The sequence below is a fragment of the Homo sapiens genome, chromosome 8, assembly GCF_000001405.40.
Source record: "Homo sapiens chromosome 8, GRCh38.p14 Primary Assembly".
Lineage (NCBI taxonomy): Eukaryota > Metazoa > Chordata > Mammalia > Primates > Hominidae > Homo > Homo sapiens.
In genome coordinates, this window is record NC_000008.11 from 120,227,128 (window position 1) to 120,247,116 (window position 19,989).

The 19,989-nt window shown below is 40.2% G+C and overlaps 1 protein-coding gene across 13 annotated transcripts in view, besides 1 other annotated feature; it reads left to right on the forward strand.

Annotated features, from left to right (window-relative positions):
* Positions 1-19,989, forward strand: part of COL14A1 (collagen type XIV alpha 1 chain) — a 249,120-nt gene that overhangs the window by 102,674 nt on the left and 126,457 nt on the right. For 11 of the 13 annotated variants that reach the window (NM_001413490.1, NM_001413491.1, NM_001413493.1 and 8 more), the window contains 4 exons: positions 93-225; positions 1,583-1,642; positions 4,340-4,491; positions 16,752-16,881. In NM_001413490.1, coding sequence (NP_001400419.1) covers positions 93-225; positions 1,583-1,642; positions 4,340-4,491; positions 16,752-16,881 — 475 coding nt within the window. Of the gene's footprint in view, positions 1-92; positions 226-1,582; positions 1,643-4,339; positions 4,492-16,053; positions 16,216-16,751; positions 16,882-19,989 lie in introns of those variants that run through there. The other 2 variants (NM_001413499.1, NM_001413500.1) reach the window with 1 other exon arrangement.
* Positions 11,579-12,078: an enhancer, noted in NCBI's record as "H3K27ac hESC enhancer chr8:121250945-121251444 (GRCh37/hg19 assembly coordinates)". NCBI's record gives its function as "activates a minimal SCP1, AML or CMV promoter by ChIP-STARR-seq in primed H9 embryonic stem cells {active_cell/tissue: H9 hESC(primed)}" and the evidence as "EXISTENCE:reporter gene assay evidence [ECO:0000049][PMID:30033119]".

Below are 19,989 nucleotides of genomic sequence, written 5' to 3' on the forward strand. Positions count from 1 at the left end.
ATTGGTTGTTTCTTGCTTATGCTCAGAATAACACTTTTTCTTTACTTTTTTTTCAAATAAGCATAGTTACTAAGCACCAAAATATATTTCAGGTTGTCCTGAAAGAAGAGCAGGACTCACATGTTATTGAAGGCCTGGAGCCCGGTACGGAGTATGAAGTTTCACTATTGGCCGTACTTGATGATGGAAGCGAGAGTGAGGTGGTGACTGCTGTCGGGACCACACGTAAGTCTTGGTCTGGCCACAGTGCGTTTTAGCTGCTCCCACAATCCCTCTTTACCCCATCAATTTCCTTCCCCATCTGCTTTATCTTTGGCTATGTAAGCTTCAATTTCTCTTTGTCCCCCAGAATTCTTCATATATCTTCACTTTCAATGAAACCAGTATGTGAAGCATCTTAGCTTCCTAGATAATGATCAACATGAAGGCAGGGACCATATCTGTGTTGCTCACCATTATATTTTCCAGGACTTAGCACAGTACTTGGCACATGTTAACTGTAGAGTAAACACCCATCAAATGGATGGATGGATAGATGAATGGATGTATGCAAGAATGGATAAAATAATTTACAAATGAATAGATTGCCAAACAAATAAACCTAGGGCCAACATGTCAAAGAGTTTCTGGAATTTTCCAAGTTGATATTGGTTCCAAGAGTCTTGTACAAAATTTACTTGCTGATTCATTCATCTCTTCATTTTTAAAATATGAGGTATTGACCACATATTAAATTGCCTTTGCCTGGGTTCCCTGGAACCAGATTCTAGACAGAAATTGCAGCCAGAAAGTTTATTGAAGAGTGCAGTTGGGAGATGCTTACGTAAAAAACTGAGGACAGCAGGAGGGGGCATGGGAAGAAGTTGAAACTGAACCCTCAGCTAATCTTATTATAATGGAGGTCTAGTGCTGGGATGACCCTTCTGAGTTGTCCCAAATTGAGACAAAGGGGCTGAGACTTCATACCCTTGCATCCCCAGTCGCTGGAGGTGAGCCATTCCCTGACAGAGGCCATGAACTCAGGCGAGACAGTTCCCAGAGCTGTGAACTGTTGGCAGGCAGTGTTCCAGCACCAAGTGGATTGGTGTGTTGACCCTAAAAAGAGGATCTGGGAAGAGCACCACATCTGTACTTCATTCTGCTATATGCCCACGGTGGCTGTAAGAAATAGAAGATGCATTGCTTGTCCAAGCACATTGCATTCCGTGGTGGTCCTGTTTGGCAGCCTTTTCACAACTTGGTCTACAGCACTGTCTAATTTCCCTTAATTACCATGGCTGTGCCCCTATTTCAAAGTAATTGGGTGGTTTCACAATTCTGTAGATGTAGTTCAAATGTTTATATGAAGCCTGGTATCTGTGATGAGAAACTTTAACATTCTTTGGGTTTCAGTTTTCTTATCTGTGGCACAGGTATGTCTGCCTTACTTACAATTCATTTCTTTCGTCTTCTAACCATTGTCATGTTTGTTGTGGGAGGCAAGTGAGATAATATAGGTGAAATGTTCTTTGAAAGCTACAACATGCTATAGAAAAATGGACAGTTGTTTTTGCAGCATTTTAAAGTAATATATTGCTTTTAGTTGACAGTTTTTGGACAGAACCAGCTACAACCATAGTGCCTACCACATCTGTGACTTCAGGTAAGGTCAAATAGTAGCCTGCTTAACCACTTTAAAAATTTTCTTTAAACAGATGTTATATTATCCTGGTTTTATTTATTATTAACTAGGAAAAGAGATGACCCTCCCTTCCTTTTCTGGCACACTGGTTCAAATTTCACGCCTCTCAGAGCCTCTCAACACCTTCCTTGCCACTAAATGCCCATGGATCTCCTAGTCAACTGATCTCACTGATACATCACTCTACCTCTTTCATCTTTGTCTGGATGCTCATGCACCTTACCTGGGATGTTAACGTAGCTGCCTCCCCAGGGGTCTTTGCCCTCCTCTTTTTTTTTTCTTTTTATTTTATTTTATTTTATTTTATTTATTATTATTATACTTTAAGTTTTAGGGTACATGTGCACAATTTGCAGGTTAGTTACATATGTATACATGTGCCATGCTGGTGCACTGCACACACTAACTCGTCATCTAGCATTAGGTATATCTCCCAATGCTATCCCTCCCCCCTCCCCCCACCCCACAACAGTCCCCAGAGTCTGATGTTCCCCTTCCTGTGTCCATGTGTTCTCATCGTTCAGTTCCCACCTATGAGTGAGAATATGTGGTGTTTGGTTTTTTGTCCTTGCGATAGTTTACTGAGAATGATGATTTCCAATTTCATCCATGTCCCTACAAAGGACATGAACTCATCATGTTTTATGGCTGCATAGTATTCCATGGTGTATATATGCCACATTTTCTTAATCCAGTCTATCATTGTTGGACATTTGGGTTGGTTCCAAGTCTTTGCTATCGTGAATAGTGCCACAATAAACATACATGTGCACGTGTCTTTATAGCAGCATGATTTATAGTCCTTTGGGTATATACCCAGTAATGGGATGGCTGGGTCAAATGGTATTGCTAGTTCTAGATCCCTGAGGAATCGCCACACTGTCTTCCACAATGATTGAACTAGTTTACAGTCCCACCAACAGTGTAAAAGTGTTCCTATTTCTCCACATCCTCTCCAGCACCTGTTGTTTCCTGACTTTTTAATGATTGCCATTCTAACTGGTGTGAGATGGTATCTCATTGTGGTTTTGATTTGCACTTCTGTTGCTCTCTGTTGAGAATTCCCCTTCTTTTCTCTTTTTTTCTTTTAGAGACAGGGTTTCATTCTGTCATCCAGGCTGGAGTGCAGCACCACGATCAAGGCTCACCACAGCCTTGACTTCCTGGGCTCATGTGATCCTCCAGCCTCAGCCCCCCACGTAGCTGGGACTACAGACATGTGTCATCGTGCCTGGCTAATCGTTTTGAATTTTAGTAGAGATGAGGTCTTTCCATATTACCCAGGCTGGTCTTTAACTCCTGAGCTCAAATGTTCCTTCATCCTTGGCCTCCCAAAGTTCTGGAATTGCAGGCATGAGCCACCATGCCTGGCCTTGTTGAGAATTATTCTTACCATGTTTTCCTTGCATTTCTGTGGGTAACTGACACTTGGCTGGTCTATTGTTTTTCCTACATTAGTTGTTTCCTCTCTCAGCTTAGCTTTCCCCTTCACTGTAATACACCTCCCAACTAGCTGTCAGAGTCAACTTGGTAAAACACAAGTTTGATAATATCATTTATTTACTTCTCTAAGACACTTCAATGGCTCTCCATTACCCATTTGTTGATTTGTTCATTCTTCATTTAATCCTTATCAAGCCTTCTTTGTGCTTTAAAGTCTTTTTCACAGCATCCAAGATCCTTCCTAGTTGGGTCCTGCTTCCCTTCCTGGCCTCAACCATATTTCCTATGCTTCCCCCGTTTTTCTCTTGCAATCCCGAACTCCTTTCCCTAAATGTGAGAAGTTCCCTCCCATTCCCATTGCCTGGTAGCCCCCCTGCAATGTTGCCAGGTAAATGTCAACCCCCTCCTCCTCTGTGACACTTTTACTATTTTTGTTGAGTTAATAACTATATAAAAACCAAAGCCCTAACAGTCTGACACACAGAAAAAGTTCAATGAATATTTTCTAAATGAATTAATAGATGAATGAAGAGAAAGGAGAATGAGAAAAGATGGACAAAGGGAAATGAAGTTAGGGTAGAAGAGAAAAGAAAAAAATGCAACAAATAAGGGAGCAGGCACCTTGAGAGATGAGCACGAATGTGCCAGGAAACACAGGTAAAGGAGTTTGGACAAGTACCAGAGAAAAGATCGTGTCTGTGTGGGCTGAATGGATAAAGGCAGCCTGAGCGCAGATTTGTGCTTTGAATGACAGGTGTTAAAAGAGAAATGGAGGTGAGGGCAGGTGATTGGGATGTGTGTTGGATGCTGGATTGCACACAGAGGTGGACAAAGTCTGGCCCACTGTGCCCACTTGTCCACAGAGCACTAGTGTGAGGTTCTCATGACCACTCTTTCCTTTGGGTTCCATGGGCTGTTTTTCTAGTCTCAGGGCTTCTTCCCAGTTCTCTTTACTAGTGCACATACAGAACTGACAGTTTTGAGGGCTCCATGGTCTCATCTTGTAAGCATCTCTTAATTCCACTTTTATTTGCTGCTAGTAGGTATCATGCCTCCCCATTAAGCACCATAGCTGAGCCCTTCTTGCCTCATATACAACTATATTACAGGGATACATTAAATGATGCTTGCTGTCACCCCACAGGTATTCTCTGTGGCTCATTTTGGAATATGATATGTTAAAAGTTTTTTAATCCTTGGTTGTGTTTATTCCAGTTTTCCAGACGGGAATCAGAAACCTAGTTGTAGGTGATGAAACTACTTCTAGCCTGCGGGTAAAATGGGACATTTCTGACAGCGATGTGCAGCAGTTTAGGGTGACCTACATGACAGCTCAAGGGGACCCTGAGGAAGAAGTCATAGGAACGGTCTGTATAAATTCAACTGACTAGAAACTCTGCAGATGTTACTAACACAGCTAATAAGACTGTCTTCGGAGATCAATGCAAACTTTACTGCTCTTTTCTCAGTGACTCTGCCATCTCCAGAAACTAATGTTCTCTGTTAATCTGACTCCACTACTGGCTTCTTAGTGACCTTTATAAATCCAAAACTTGCTCCATGTACAACTTGCTCCAAGTTAATAACCTCTGAACATTGTTTCAAATATTGCTTCTCTTCTGCTGCCTTGCACCTGTTCGAGCACCAAAGTTGGGTCATAAAAGGCCATATGCACTTGTGTCTGTATATATGTATGTATAGACATGTATAAAAGTTTAATATAGAAAATAATTTCTTCTGCCCTTGGAAATCTGATAAAAAAACTTTTAAGCAAAGGACACAGAAAAGGTCTTCTATATGGTATAGTGAAAATATTCTTAATAAAATACCATCCGTTAACCAATAGTTATATTTTTCATTGACATCAACTCGTATTGAGTAGATTTATAGTCATTTCTAATTATTCGTAACATGGATGTATCCCCTCAGGGATTTAGATTTTTATACATTGAGTTTTCTTTGAGTTGTTTTATCTATCTTTCCTTTTTCTAAATGATACACTCTTTTTTTCTAATTTATTTATCTTTTTTTAATATACTTAAGTTCTGGGATACATGTGCAGAACATGCAGGTTTTTTACATAGGTATACATGGACCATGGTAGTTTGCTGCACCCATCAACCCGTCATCTACATTAAGTATTTCTCCTAATGCTATCCCTCCCCTTGCCCCACAACCCCAACAGGACCCAGTGTGTAATGTTCCCCTCCCTGTGTCCATGTGTTCTCATTGTTCAACTCCCACTTATGAGTGAGAACATGTAGTGTTTGGTTGCCTGTTCCTGTGTTAGTTTGCAGAGAATGATGGTTTCCAGCTTCATCCATGTCCCTGCAAAGGACATGAACTCATCCTTTTTTATGGCTGCATAGTATTCCATGGTGTATATGTGCCACATTTTCTTTATCCAGTCTATCATTGATGGGCATTTGGGCTGGTTCCAAGTCTTTGCTATTGTGAGTAGTGCTGCAATAAACATGTGTGGATGTATTGTTATAGTAGAATGATTTATAATGCTTTGGGTATACACCCAGTAATGGGATTGCTGGGTCAAATGGTATTTCTAGTTCTAGGTCTTTGAGGAATCGCTACACTGCCTTCCACAATGGTTGAGCTAATTTACAGTCTCACCAACAGTGTAAAAGTGTTCCTATTTCTCCACATCCTCTCTAGCATCTGTTGTTTCCTGACTTTTTAATGATTGCCGTTCTAACTGGCATGAGATGATATCTCATTGTGGTTTTGATTTGAGTTTTTCTAATGACCAACGATGATGAGCTTTTTTTCATATGTTTGTTGGCTGCATAAATGTATTCTTTTGAGAAAGTGACTGTTAATATCCTTCTCCCACTTTTTGATGGAGTTGTTTGTTTTTTTCTTGTAAATTGGTTTAAGTTCCTTGTAGGTTCTGGATATTAGCCATTTGTCAGATGAGTAGATTGCAAAAATTTTCTCCCATTCTGTAGGTTGCCTGTTCACTCTGATGATAGTTTCTTTAGCTGTGCAGAAGCTCTTTAGTTTAATTAGATCCCATTTGTCTATTTTGGCTTTTGTTGCCATTGCTTTTGGTGTTTTAGTCATGAAGTCTTTGCCCATGCCTGTGTCCTGAATGGTATTGCCTAGGTTTTCTTCCAGGATTTTTATGGTTTTATGTCTTATGTTTAAATCTTTAATCCATCTTTTCATTTTTGAAACATGCGGTGTTTGGTTGCCTGTTTCTTTTTTTGTCTAAGATTCATTTTTGTATAAGGTGTAAGAAAGGGGTCCAATTTCAGTTTTCTGCCTATGCCTAGCCAGGTTTCCCAACACCATTTATTAAATAGGGAATCCCCTCCCCATTGCTTGTTTTTTTCCAGGTTTGTCACAGATAGATGGTTGCAGATGTGTGGTGTCATTTCTGAGGTCTCTGTTCTGTTCCATTGGTTTATATATCTGTTTTGGTACCAATACCAAGCTGTTTTGGTTACTGTGGCCTTGGACTATAGTTTTAAGTCAGGTAGTGTAATGCCTCCAGCTTTGTTCTTTTTGCTTAGGATTGTCTTGGCTATATGGACTCTTTTTTGGTTCCATGTGAAATTTAAAGTAGTTTTTTCTAATTCTGCGAAAAAAGTCAATGGTAGCTTGATGGGAATAACATTGAATCTACAAATTACTTTGGGCAATATGGCCATTTTTATGATATTGATTCTAGCTATCCATGAGCATGAAATATTTTTCCATTTGTTTGTGTCCTCTCTTATTTCCTTGAGCAGTGGTTTGAGTTCTCCTTGAAGAGGTCCTTCACATCCTTTGTAAGTTGGATTCCTAGGTATTTTATTCCCTTTGTAGCAATTGTGAATAGGAGTTCGCTCATGATTTGGCTCTCTGTCTATTATTGGTGTATGGAAATCCTTGTGATTTTTGCAATTGATTTTGTATCCTGAGACTTTGCTGAAGTTGCATATCAGCTTAGGGAGATCTGGGGCTGAGATGATGGGGTTTTCTAAATATGCAATCATGTCATCTGCAAACAGAGACAATTTGACTTTCTCTCTTCCTATTTGAATACCCTTTATCACTTTCTCTTGCCTGATTGCCCTGGCCAGAACCTCGAATACTATGTTGAATAGGAGTGGTGAGATAGGGCATCCTTGTCTTGTGCCGATTTTCAAAGGGAATGCTTCCAGCTTTTGCCCATTCAGTATGATATTGACTGTGGGTTTGTCATAAATAGCTCTTTTTATTTTGAGATACATTCCATCAATACCTAGTTTATTAAGAGTTTTTAGCATGAAGGGGTGTTGAATTTTATTGAAGGCCTTTTCTGCATCTATTGAGATAATCATGTGGTTTTTGTCATTGATTCTGTTTATGTGATGTATTATATTTATTGATTTGCGAATGTTGAACCAGCCTTGCATCCCAGGGATGAAGCCGCCTTGATTGTGGTGGATAAGCTTTTTAATGTGTTGCTGAATTCGGTTTGCCAGTATTTTATTGAGGATTTTCGCATCAATGTTCATCCAGGGTATTGGCCTGAAATGTTCTTTTTTTGTTGTGTCTCTGCCAGGTTTTGGTGTCAGCATGATGCTGACCTAATAAAAAGACTTAAGGAGGAGTCCCTCTTTTTCTATTGCTTCGAATAGTTTTAGAAGGAATGGTACCAGCTCCTCTTTTTACCTTTGTCAGAAATTGGCTGTGAATCCTTCTGGTCCTGGGCTTTTTTTGGTTGGTAGGCTATTAATTACTGCCTCAATTTCAGAACTTGTTATTGGTCTTTTCAGGAATTCGACTTCTTCCTGGTTTAGTCTTGGGAGGGTGTATGTGTCCAGGAATTTATCCATTTCTTCTAGATTTTCTAGTTTATTTGCATAGTGGTGTTTATAGTATTCTCTGATGGTAGTTTGTATTTCTGTGGGATCAATAGTGATATCCCCTTTATCATTTTTATTTTTTGTTGAGATGGAGTCTCACTCTGTTGCCCAGGCTGGGAGAGTAGTGGTGCAATCTTGGTTCACTGCAACCTCCTCCTCCTGGGTTCCAGCGATTCTCCTGCCTCAGCCTTCCGAGTTGCTGGGACTACAGGCACCTCCCACCATGCCCGGCTAATTTTTGTTTTTTTTAGTAGAGATGGGTTTTCACCATGTTGGCCAGGCTGGTCTCAAACTCCTGACCCTGTTATCTGCCTGCCTTGGCCTCCCAAAGTGCTGGGATTACAGGCATGCACCACCCCTGCCCCCTTTACCATTTTTTATTGTGTCTACTTGATTCTTCTCTCTTTTCTTCTTTATTAGTCTGGCTAGTGGTCTATTTATTTTTTTAATCTTTTCAAAAAACAAGCTCCTGGATTCACTGATTTTTTGAAGGGCTTTTCGTGTCTCTATCTCCTTCAGTTCTGCTCTGATCTTAGTTATTTCTTGTCTTCTGCTAGCTTTTGAATTTGTTTGCTCTTGGTTCTCTAGTTCTTTAAACTGTGATGTTAGGATGTCGATTTTGGATCTTTCCAGCTTTCTCCTGTGGGCATTTAGTGCTGTAAGTTTCCCTCTAAACACTGCTTTAGCTGTGTTCCAGAGATTCTGGTACATTGTGTCTTTGTTCTCATTGGTTCCAAAGAACATATTTATTTCTGCCTTGATTTTGTTATGTACCCAGTAGTCATTCAGGAGCAGGTTGTTCAGTTTCCATGTAGTTGTGCAGTTTTGAGTGAGTTTCTTAATCCTGAGTTCTAATTTGATTGCACTGTGGCCTGAGACTGTTTGTTATGATTTGCATTCTTTTACATTTGCTGAGGAGTGTTTTACTTCCAATTGTGTGGTGAATTTTAGAATAAGTGTGATGTGGTGCTAAGAAGAATGTATATTCTGTTGGTTTGGAGTGGAGAGTTCTGTAGATGTCTATTAGGTCCTCTTGGTCCAGAGCTGAGTTCAAGTCCTGGATATCCTTGGTAATTTTCTGTCTCATTTATCTGTCTAATATTGACAGTGGGGTGTTAAAGTTTCCTACTATTATTGTGTGGGAGTCTAAGTCTCTTTGTAGGTTTCTAAGAATTTGCTTTATGAATCTGGGTGCTCCTGTGTTGGGTGCATATATATTTAGGATAGTTAGCTCCTCTTGTTGCATTGATCCCTTTACCATTATGTAATGCCCTTCTTTGTCTTTTTTGATCTTTGTTGGCTTAAAATCTGTTTTATCAGAGACTAGGATTGCAACCCCTGCTTTTTTTTTTTGCTTTCCATTTGCTTGGTAAATATTCCTCCATCCCTTTATTTTGAGTCTATGTGTGTCTTTGCACGTGAGATGGGTCTCCTGAATACAGCACACCAGTGGGTCTTGACTTTTAACCAATTTGCCAGTCTGTGTCTTTTAATTGGGGCATTTAGCCCATTTACATTTAAGGTTAATATTGTTATGTGTGAATTCGATCCCGTCATTATGATGCTAGCTGGTTATTTAGCCCATTAGTTGATGCAGTTTCTTCGTAATGTCAATGGTCTTTGCAATTTGGTATGTTTTTGCAGTGGCTGGTACCGGTTTTTACTTTCCATATTTGTTACTTCCTCCAGGAGCTCTTGTAAGGCAGGCCTGGGGGTGAAAAAATCCCTCAGCATTTGCTTGTCTGTAAAGGATTTTATTTCTCCTTCACTTATGAAGCTTAGTTTGGCTGGATATGAAATTCTGGGTTGAAAATTCTTTTCTTTAAGAATGTTGAATGTTGGCCCCCACGCTCTTCTGGCTTGTAGAGTTTCTGCAGAGAGATCCGCTGTTAGACCGATGGGCTTCCCTTTGTGGGTAGCCCAACCTTTCGCTCTGGCTGCCCTTAACATTTTTTCCTTCATTTCAACCTTGGTGAATCTGATGATTGGGGTTGCTCTTCTTGAGGAGTATCTTTGTGATGTTGTCTGTATTTCCTGAATTTGAATGTTGGCCTGTCTTGCTAGGTTGGGGAAGTTCTCCTGGATAATATCCTGAAGTGTGTTTTCCAACTTCGTTCCATTCTCCCTGTCACTTTCAGGTATACCAATCAAACGCAGATTTGGTCTTTTCACATTGTCCCATATTTCTTGGAGGCTTTGTTCATTCCTTTTCATTATTTTTTCTCTAATCTTGTCTTCATGCTTTATTTCCTTAAGTTGATCTTCAATCTCTGATATCCTTTCTTTCACTTGATCAATTTGGCTATTGATACCTGTGTATGCTTCACAAAGTTCTTACGCTGTGTTTTTCAGCTCCATCAGGTCATTTATATTCTTCTCTAAACTGATTATTCTAGTTAGCAGTTCCTGTAAGCTTTTATCAAGGTTCTTAGCTTCCTTGCATTGGGTTAGAATATGCTCCTTTAGCTCGGAGGAGCTTGTTACTGCTTACCTTCTGGAGCCTACTTCTGTCAATTCATTAAACTCATTCTCCTTCCAGTTTTGTTCTCTTGCTGGCGAGGAGTTGCGATCCTTTGGAGGAGAAGGGGCATTCTGGTTTTTGAAACTTTCAGCCTTTTTATGTTGGTTTTTTTCTCATCTTTCTGGATTTGTCTACCTTTGGTCTTTGATGTTGGTGACCTTTGGATGGGGTTTGAGTGGTCGTCCTTTTTGTTGATGTTGATGCTATTGCTTCCTGTTTTTTAGTTTTCCTTCTAACAGTCAGGCCCCTCTGCTGCAGGTCTGTTGGAGTTTGGTGGAGGGCCATTCCAGACCCTGTGTGCCTGGGTATCATCAGCAGAGGCTGCAGAAAAGCAAAGATTGCTGCCTGCTCCTTCCTCTGGAAGCTTCATCCCAGAGGGGCACCTGCCAGATGCCAGCTGGAGCTCTCCTGTATGAAGTGTCTGTCGACTCCTGGTGTCTCCCCATCAGGAGGCACGGGGGTCAGGGACCCATTTGAGGAGACTGTCTGTCCCTTAGCAGAGTTCGAGCGCTGTGCTGGGAGGTCCTCTGCTCTTTTCAGAGCCAGCAGGCAGGAATGTTTAAGTCTGCTGAAGCTGCGCCCACAGCCACCCCTTCCCCCAGGTGCTCTGTCACAGGGAGATGAGAGTTTTATCTAGAAACCCCTGACTGGGGCTGCTGCCTTTCTTTTAGAGATGCCCTGCCCAGAGAGGAGGAATCTAGAGAGGCAGTCTGGCTACAGTGGTTTTGTGGTGCTGCGGTAGGCTCTGCCCAGTCCAAACTTCCAGGCAGCTTTGTTTACACTGTGAGGGGAAAACTGTCTACTCAAGCCTTACTAATGGCGGACACCCCTCCCCCCACCAAGCTCGAGCATCCCAGGTTGACTTCACATTGCTGTGCTGGCAGCGAGAATTTCAAGACAGTGGATCTTAGCTTGTTGGGCTCCGTGGGGGTTGGATCTGCTGAGCAAGACCACTGGGATCCCTGGCTTCAGCCCCCTTTCCAGGGGAGTGAATGGTTCTGTCTCGCTGGCATTCCAGGCATCATGGGGTATGAAAATAAACTCTTGCAGCTAGCTCGGTGTTTGCCCAGATGGCCACCCAGCTTTGTGCTTGAAACCCAGGGCCCTGGTGGTATAGGCACCCAAGGGAATCTCCTGGTCTGTGGGTTGCAAAGACCGTGGGAAAAGCATAGTATCTGGGCTGGATAGCTCTGTCCCTCATGGCGTGGTCCCTCATGGCTTCCCTTGGCTAGGGGAGGGAGTTCCCCAACTCTTTGTGCTTCCTGGATGAGGCGACGTCCCACCCTGCTTATGCTCACCCTCCATGGGCTGCACCCACTGTCTAACCAGTCCCAATGAGATGAACCCGGTACCTCAGTTGGAAATACAGAAATCACCCGCCTTCTGCATTGGTCTCACTGGGAGCTGCAGACCAGAGCTGTTCCTATTTGGCCATCTTGCCCAGGCACCAAAATCAATGATACACTCTTAATTGTGGCCTGGTACACTTTTAATCATGGCCTTCCCATGTATTCTAAATTTACACTATATCATTCCTTTCAGTCTAGAACCTGAAAATTCTTTCTTAGACATGTTTCTAATCAAACCAGGTAACTCCAGTATGCATCCAGAAGAATTTTTCTTTTGAGTCATAAAATATGTTTATTTAGCTCATTACTTGCATTTCTTGCCCTCTGCTGCATTATTTCTGACACTCTGGGAAAGAAGTCTACAAAATTTATTATTGCTCAAGTATAACATTATCATTCCTTTGCCTTCCTCACTCAAAAAGCCTTCAATGGGAAGTTACTTTTATTTATGTGCTTACATAAACAACTATTTGACCCCAGAATCCTTTAAGGAAAGTACTTCATTTCTGGCTGATGGAGGAAATATTACAGGACACAGTGACAGACCCAAGAAGAGCCACACCTACTGTGAATAGCCAGAAGGCCATTACACTGATCTGGGAGTACTTTTGAAAAGTTAATGGATTCTTAAACAAAATAGATTGAATTACAAATTCACTCAGACCATACACTTCAAATGGTTCATGATTGGCAAATTCAAAAAATAAAATAAAATTATGGTTAGGAATGGTAATTAAATATATAAGTTGTGATTTTTTTTTCTGTGTTATTTTTCTCATATTGTAATTGAGTTCCTAAAAATGAGACCCGTGGAAACTTCCCAAGGTGAGAGGCTTTGTTTTGTTTTGTTTCTGTTTTTTGTTTTTTTTTTGTTTGTTTGCTTTTTGTTTTTTACTTTTTCTGAGAAATACATTAAGCTTCTTAGTGAATTATTCCTGTTAATTTGGAAAGAATAAAAATTTAATATCATGCATGCACTTGTAAGCTATGCAAGGTAAAATAATAATAATATTTACTTTGGGTTGTCTCTAGATAATTTTTCCTTTTCTAGTTTCTTTCGTTTCACACTGTTTATTTTTGACATAGTTGGACACCTAGATGAAGGGAAAAAAAGATCAAAAGTCTTAAACACTCTGACCCAGTTAAACAAACCTGTAGTAAAAACGAAAAATATTGATAAATTTGGTGGTGCTTATTTGCTTTGCAAAACTGTTTTTTTTTTTCTCTCTCTCTCTTTTGCCTTACAGAAGAACCTACTGTAGAATTCTTTAAGTATCAAGCTCCTTTAGAGGATTTTAATTAAATAAGATATGTACACACTTGATTTACAGGTGCCCTCTCAGGGACTCACCTGAGGGTTCTTTGAAAATTTGTATCAGTGTTTTATGAAGTGTTACTGTGATACAAATGTAATGTGTTATGACTGGAGACAGAAAGTGGACTGCATGTAAATTTAGATTATGAAACTAAGGTGGACAGGCAGATGCACATCTCTATTAAAGTCTGAGGGTCTTGAAATCACATGGACCAAATGACATCTTAAAATAATAATGTATGGCGCAGAAAGACAGATGGCTAAGACATACTATGAAAGCAAGAAAGGAAATGTGTCAAGATAAGAGGAATACCAGACCTTCCTTAACTCTCAAGGCTGATTAAATTTACACAAAGAAATGATAAGCTTGTGTACTGAAGTTGGACAATAGTGTATGTATATGTTATACACTGTGTACTATAACATTGTAGACCAAATTTCAGCTTAAACATATGTAAAACAAGGGGAATTTAATTTACGTTTCCAGTTGAGGTAAATGAAATGTTTCTATACTTTCTAGATATAATTACATCTATCAAATACTTCTAGGTTAAAAAAAACCCTTTGAATTCTTAGAAATAAAACTATAGTACCTGTCAAATATTTTGTAAGGATTGACTTTCAACTCTGTCTTGGAATATGGAGGAGTGGCAATGACATTGCCATACATTTTGTTGTCAGGGTAGGAAGGTCTCTCATTTATTTTAAAAGGCTAGTCAGGATTTCAGAATTTTCTAGAGCCTCAGTGTAAAAATCTGTAGCTCTAACATGAATTCTGGGTTGCAAGAATACGTCTAGAGTAAGAATACTCAAAGTGTGACTCAGTCTCCTACATGACTGCATGATAGTTTCAGATATTAAGATTAACATTTTAGAAACATTGATAGCCATTTGACATTACTGCAACAACCTGAGAACATGATCACTTTTCTAACCACTTGGTTTTATCGTATTTTACAAATAAATTGGTCTGCAATGGATGGGAATTAAAATGACACCACCACCACCAACAATAGCAACTAGTCCTTCACCACAAAGAGTTTGAGAATCACTGCCTAGAACTGAACTTCATAAGAGGGGAACACAGCGAGATGCAGGGCATCCTCTTTCTACTGCAGGAACAGCTGGTTGGATATGGTCCAGGTTGCTCTGAAAAGCTTTGGGTGATATTAGAGCCAGACATGAAAATCCATTTCTGAAAAAAATTAAAAGCATGAAGCTCACTGGTTATATTTCCATCCCACTTAACCATGAACATTTTTTACAGAACTGTTTTATAAATAAAACCAGCATCTGTTCTGACCTGCAGCATTTGTTTTTAGTAGGAGCACATTTTTTTACTTTGCTTTGTCTAAACAAGCAGAGGCCAAGCAAGAGGAACTTTGCATACCCAAGAGGAGATGGTTTTTTACTCTTGAAAATGAATATCAATAGGGTAAGAAGGTTCAAGTGGTGCAGTCATGTGGAGTAGAGGACAAAGGCCCAGACAAGATTCTTGGGGTTTCGGTATGGCTCTTTTACTCAATATCTATATGGGCCTCAGTTTTCTCATCTGTAAAATGAATGTGATGATACCCCTTATTTCAAAAGGTGGTAGTGAAGATTAAGTGAATTACAGATTGAGAATTCCTAATCATAAAATTCAAAATCTGAAATGCTCCAAAATCCAAAACGTTTTGAACACTGACATGATGCTACAAGTGGAAAATTTCACATAGAAGTAATTAACACAAACTTTGTTTTACGCACAAAATTATTAAAAATATTGTATAAAATTACCTTCAGATTATGTATATAAAGTGTATATGAAATGTAAATGAATATTGTGTTTAGACTTGGGTCTAATCCTCAAGATACCTCATTATACATCTACAAATATTCCTGAATCTAACAAAATTTCAAATCCAAAACACTTCTGGTCTCAAGCATTTCTGATAAGGGTTACTCAATCTGCATATGCTGTATTAGAATGCTTACAGCAGCACCTGGCACATAGTAATTGCTAGGTAAGGGAAGCCTCTTACTATAAATCACAGCAACTATTCCTGGCAAGCTAATGAGTCTTCTAAAACAGTCACACTGCTTTTTAGTATTCCATGTGCTAAATTTAATTGGTTAGTTCCAAGACCATGGGCTTCTCAGTTTGAAAGAAGACATTATTTAACATCAACATGGGTGGTTTGTTAGATGGACAAATTGAAATGAATGCCCAGGCTCTGCTTCAGAGGGGTTACATTTAAGAGAAACACCCTGAGGGAAGCTATGTTGGTGGAGTAATGCAAGTCAGGGCAACCTCAATTCTTCTCTTACACGTTCTTAGTGCTAGGGCCGTCTAACTCATTCTGGAATAAAGCAGAGCTTCTTTGTAAATATCTCCTTCTCAGGACCCCGAGTCCACACATCAATTCAGACCTGTACATTTCAATGGCCCTTTCCTATGAGGAGCAAAATCATATTAATCTCATATAAAAATCATCTAATTTAGATTTCCTTGTTTCATATTTAAAATACTGCTTTTAAGGGCTTAGCAATATCTTAGCAACAGCTGCTTCTGGGTTCAACTCGAGGCTTTCTAGGGCTTATTCCATGATTTATAGGTTCCTTCCTTCATCCAGAAGGAGACAGCATCGCCCTTTGCCTGCTGGCATTTTACCCAGCACTTGAATCGAAAAGTAACTCCAGCTGTCCTGGTCTTGTGACTCCCTTAAACCCGTTTGAGTCAGTTCTTACATCCTAGCACTTTTCCAGCCATGATTAAGTTCTTTAAATGGCCCGGTGATGGGCCAGCTTCTCACTCCTGGAGCACAGACAGAAAGTTTTGTGGTTTTAGCACTGAGAACATGTGGCTTTTCTGGTCCAGACGATTCTTTTCGAGGTGGCAGAGTTCACAAGCCACCACATGGAGCCCTGCACTCACACTTGCGCGATGTCGAACCCACTGCTGCATTTCTTTTTTGTGGGGACAGCCTTTTAGACACAGAGTGATGGTGATTCTAGATTGAGGAAGACAACTCCTTTCAGAAATAAAAAAGCTGCACCGTTTTTTAGTGTTGCTGGTAAATATGCTTCAGCTCAAGAAAACTTGGCTTTGATGTGTGGTTCTGTTGCTCTTGGCTAGGATCCATCCTTTCTAACTGAAAGAAGAAAATGCTGGGGTCTGATTATCTCTGAAGGAGGAAATAATGGAAGGCTGACTTTGCAAGAGGATACTTAAGTAAAATAAAAAATGATAAGCAGCAGGCTGGATTATAGAATGAGCTCTCCCAATCTATAAACACCTGCTATCTAAACAGGCCATTATTCTCTCTTCTGGATACTTTACAAATGCCAAGAAGATGTTGAGAGAAGAATATTCCTTAGAGCTTAAGAGTGTCAAATTTAAACCTTCTGTATTAGTGATTATAAACTAAGGGTTACTGTGATGGGAATTTCAGGGAGAAACGCTTTTGCATGAGTGCCCTTTCTTTTCTCCTCACTCTCAAAGCACATCTCTTTTCTTTTGATTATTTCAAAATGCATAAAGTTATGCTCCATTACCAAATCAGTGGAAACGGGTCTCACTAAGACTGCAGTCCTTTGCTTTTTTGTTCAGGTTATGGTGCCTGGAAGCCAGAACAACCTCCTTCTGAAGCCTCTGCTTCCTGATACTGAATACAAAGTCACAGTGACTCCCATCTACACGGATGGCGAAGGCGTCAGCGTCTCCGCTCCTGGAAAAACCTGTAAGTGAAGCTTTCTCCCTTTGAATACAAGCCGACTCATTAAATGGAAATGCTTGTCCCCTGTAATGCACCCTGAAAGATACAGTAGATTGCAGTGAAGAAACTAAAAGATTTGGGAACAGGAAATCTGTCTGCATCCTGTCTTTACACACACAAGCTATGTGACTTTGAGCAAATTGCTTAAATGTTCTGGGCTGCAGTTTCTTTTTCTGTGGAAGTGAAGACTTGAAAAACAACTACATCTTTCTCTTCCAGAGTTTAATTCGTCAAGGTCCTGTGATTCATCAAAATGTATTCTGCATGCCTGATCTCTCTTCATCTAACAGGTGTGCTCTAGTCCAAGCCACACTCTCTCTTTTATTTTCATTTTATTTAATTAATTTACTTTTATTTCCATAGGTTTTGGGGAACAGGTGGTATTTGGTTACATGAGTAATTCTTTAGTGGTGATTTGTGATATTTTGGTGCACTCATCACCCGAGCAGTATACACTGAACCCAATTGGTAGTCTCTTATCCCTCATCCCCTTCCCACCCTTTCCCCTGGAGTCCCCAAAGTCCATTGTATCCTTCTTATGGCTTTGTATCTTCATAGCTTATCTCCCACTTATAAGTGAGAACATATGATGTTTGGTTTTCCATTTCTGAGTTACTTCACTTAAAATAAGTCTCCAATCTCATCCAGGTTGCTGCAAATGCCATTAATTCATTCCCTTTTATGCAAGCCACTCTCTCTCTCATCCAGATGAGTGTACTAGCCTCCTGTCAGGTCTTCCTGCTTCTACTCATGCCATCTCCTATTCTTCTTATAGCAGCTTGAGGAGGTTTTCAGCAGATAAATGATCTGCACCTCTGTTTTAGGCCTCCCAATGGCTTCTCACTGTACCCAGGATGAAATCTTATGTCCTTCCGTGCCTTACAAAGATCAACCTACCACCTGGATCCTGCCGATCTCTTTGATCTCCCCTCCTGGCCATTTCCCCATTCATACCTCCCTGTCTGCTCTCCACTGGACTCTTTGAAGTTGTTCCTGCCTTAGGCCCCATGCCCTAGCGATTCCTTCTACATGGTATATGCTTTCCCAGATATTTGCATGTAAGAGTTTTTCTGGTCATCCGGGTCTAGGCTCAATGTCACCTCCTCAGCCTTTTCTGGCCACCCCATGCAAAGTAGCCCCCACTGTCTATGATATTATCCTTTTTTGTTTGTTGTTTTTGGTCATATCATGGCACTAATTACTCCCTGGTATTTTCTTATTTATTCATGTATTTGCTCACTTTCTGTCTCCCATCCCTGGAAGGCAAAGTATCATGAGAGCCTGGGGCCTCATCAATACTGTTCACCTCTGCATGCCAAGCTCCTATAGTGCTGGGTGGCACAGAGGAGGCGTCATGCAACGCTTATTTAAGATGGATTGACCATGTTCCTCAAATGAGAAAGATGCATGAAAACCCTTGGTTAAAGCACTGCAGAGTCATAGTTGTCTTCATTATTGATATGATTTTCTATTCTTGCATAAAGACTGCTCTAGAACTTAATGGCTTAAAACAGTGACCATTTTTTTTTATCATATCTCACAATTGTTTGGGTCAGGAAATTAGGCAGGACTTGCTGGGAAAGTCTGCTCCACATGGGATTGATCAGTGTCACCTGGTGGTATTCACTTGAGGGCTGGGCTGGTCTGGATGTTACAGGACAACTTTACCCACATGTCTGGCATCTTGGTGGGGGTGGCAAGCAGGCTGGACCCAGCTGAGTGCCTCTCTCTCTCCCTTAGTCTCAGAGCTTCTCCATGTGGTCTTTCCAGCAGAGCAGTCATATTTCTTACATGTCAGCTCAGGACTGTAACAGCAAGAGTTCCAAGAGGCATAAAATGGAAACTGCTAGTGTCACTTCTGCTGCAGTCTATTTATTGGTCAAGGTAGTCATAGAACCCACTCAGATCCAAATAAACAGTCATAGTGCCACCTGTCAATGGAAGGAGGGTTGAAAACTCTGTGACCATCTTTATCCATCATAATTACCAAATGGTGACATGTGGTTAGGTTCAAAATGGTGTCAAGGGCTGAATTATGTACCTGGGCACCGAAGTGTGGAGTTTTCAACTAAGTTTGCGAAAATCATTAAAATTCTGAAGCCCAGAGTCCTGATTCTGCTCAGCTGGGCAAATAGGTATCATCTCCTCATTTAACAGTGCTGGCATCTCTCCCTCCTCCCGTGCTTATGCCGTGTGCCTCCACCCAGACTCCCACCAAGCCTGCACATTTTGCTAAAAATCACCCAGAGTATTGTGAGTCCTTGGAGCTGCTATAGTTGTTTCCTCAAGGGACATGAGGAAGGAGAGAAGGAAAACAGAAGAGCAGAGCTATAGGGAGATTTCAAACTTTTCACTCCACCTTTACCAGTATATTGGCATCTTGATTTGGTCTATGCATTGGAATTTCTAGCATATGTTGGTATGTTGCTGCTAAATAAATGTTTGAAAACCAAAATCACAGACTTAAGCAACAATTAAAGAAAACATCAAGTAGTATTTTACCTAGCGAGGTAAATACTTGCTATTATGTATTTATCTTTAAATAAAAACTATTTAAAGATTATTAGTATGAAAATAGGGCTTAAATCTTATTACAGAAATGCCATTACGTCTTAAAAATCTCTATATAGTAAAATTATTTTGAAGTGTTAGTGGATGATCTAAGCAGTGATTAAGGAGTGGCCAACACAACTACGTTTTATCAACAACAAAATGATAATGACAAAATGCATACAAATTTACAACAGTCCTCCATATAAATGACTGTAATGTTTTGATAAAAATGGATAAGCAATAATATAAAACTTCAAACAGTATAGGAAATATGAAGATGAAAGCAAAAAATAAAATCAGAATCTTACCTCTGAGAATAATCACCATTAACATTCTATGAACACACCCCCAGTATTGCTGTTCACATATGCTTAGTGGAACACAGTGGCATGGAGACAGACATTTCTAATAAACACGATTGAATTCAATTATACCTAAAATTAACTGATGAATAGGGAATCAAAATAACAATGAAAGACTTCTACATTTCAGATAAAAGTATTTTGTTCTAAGAGCAAT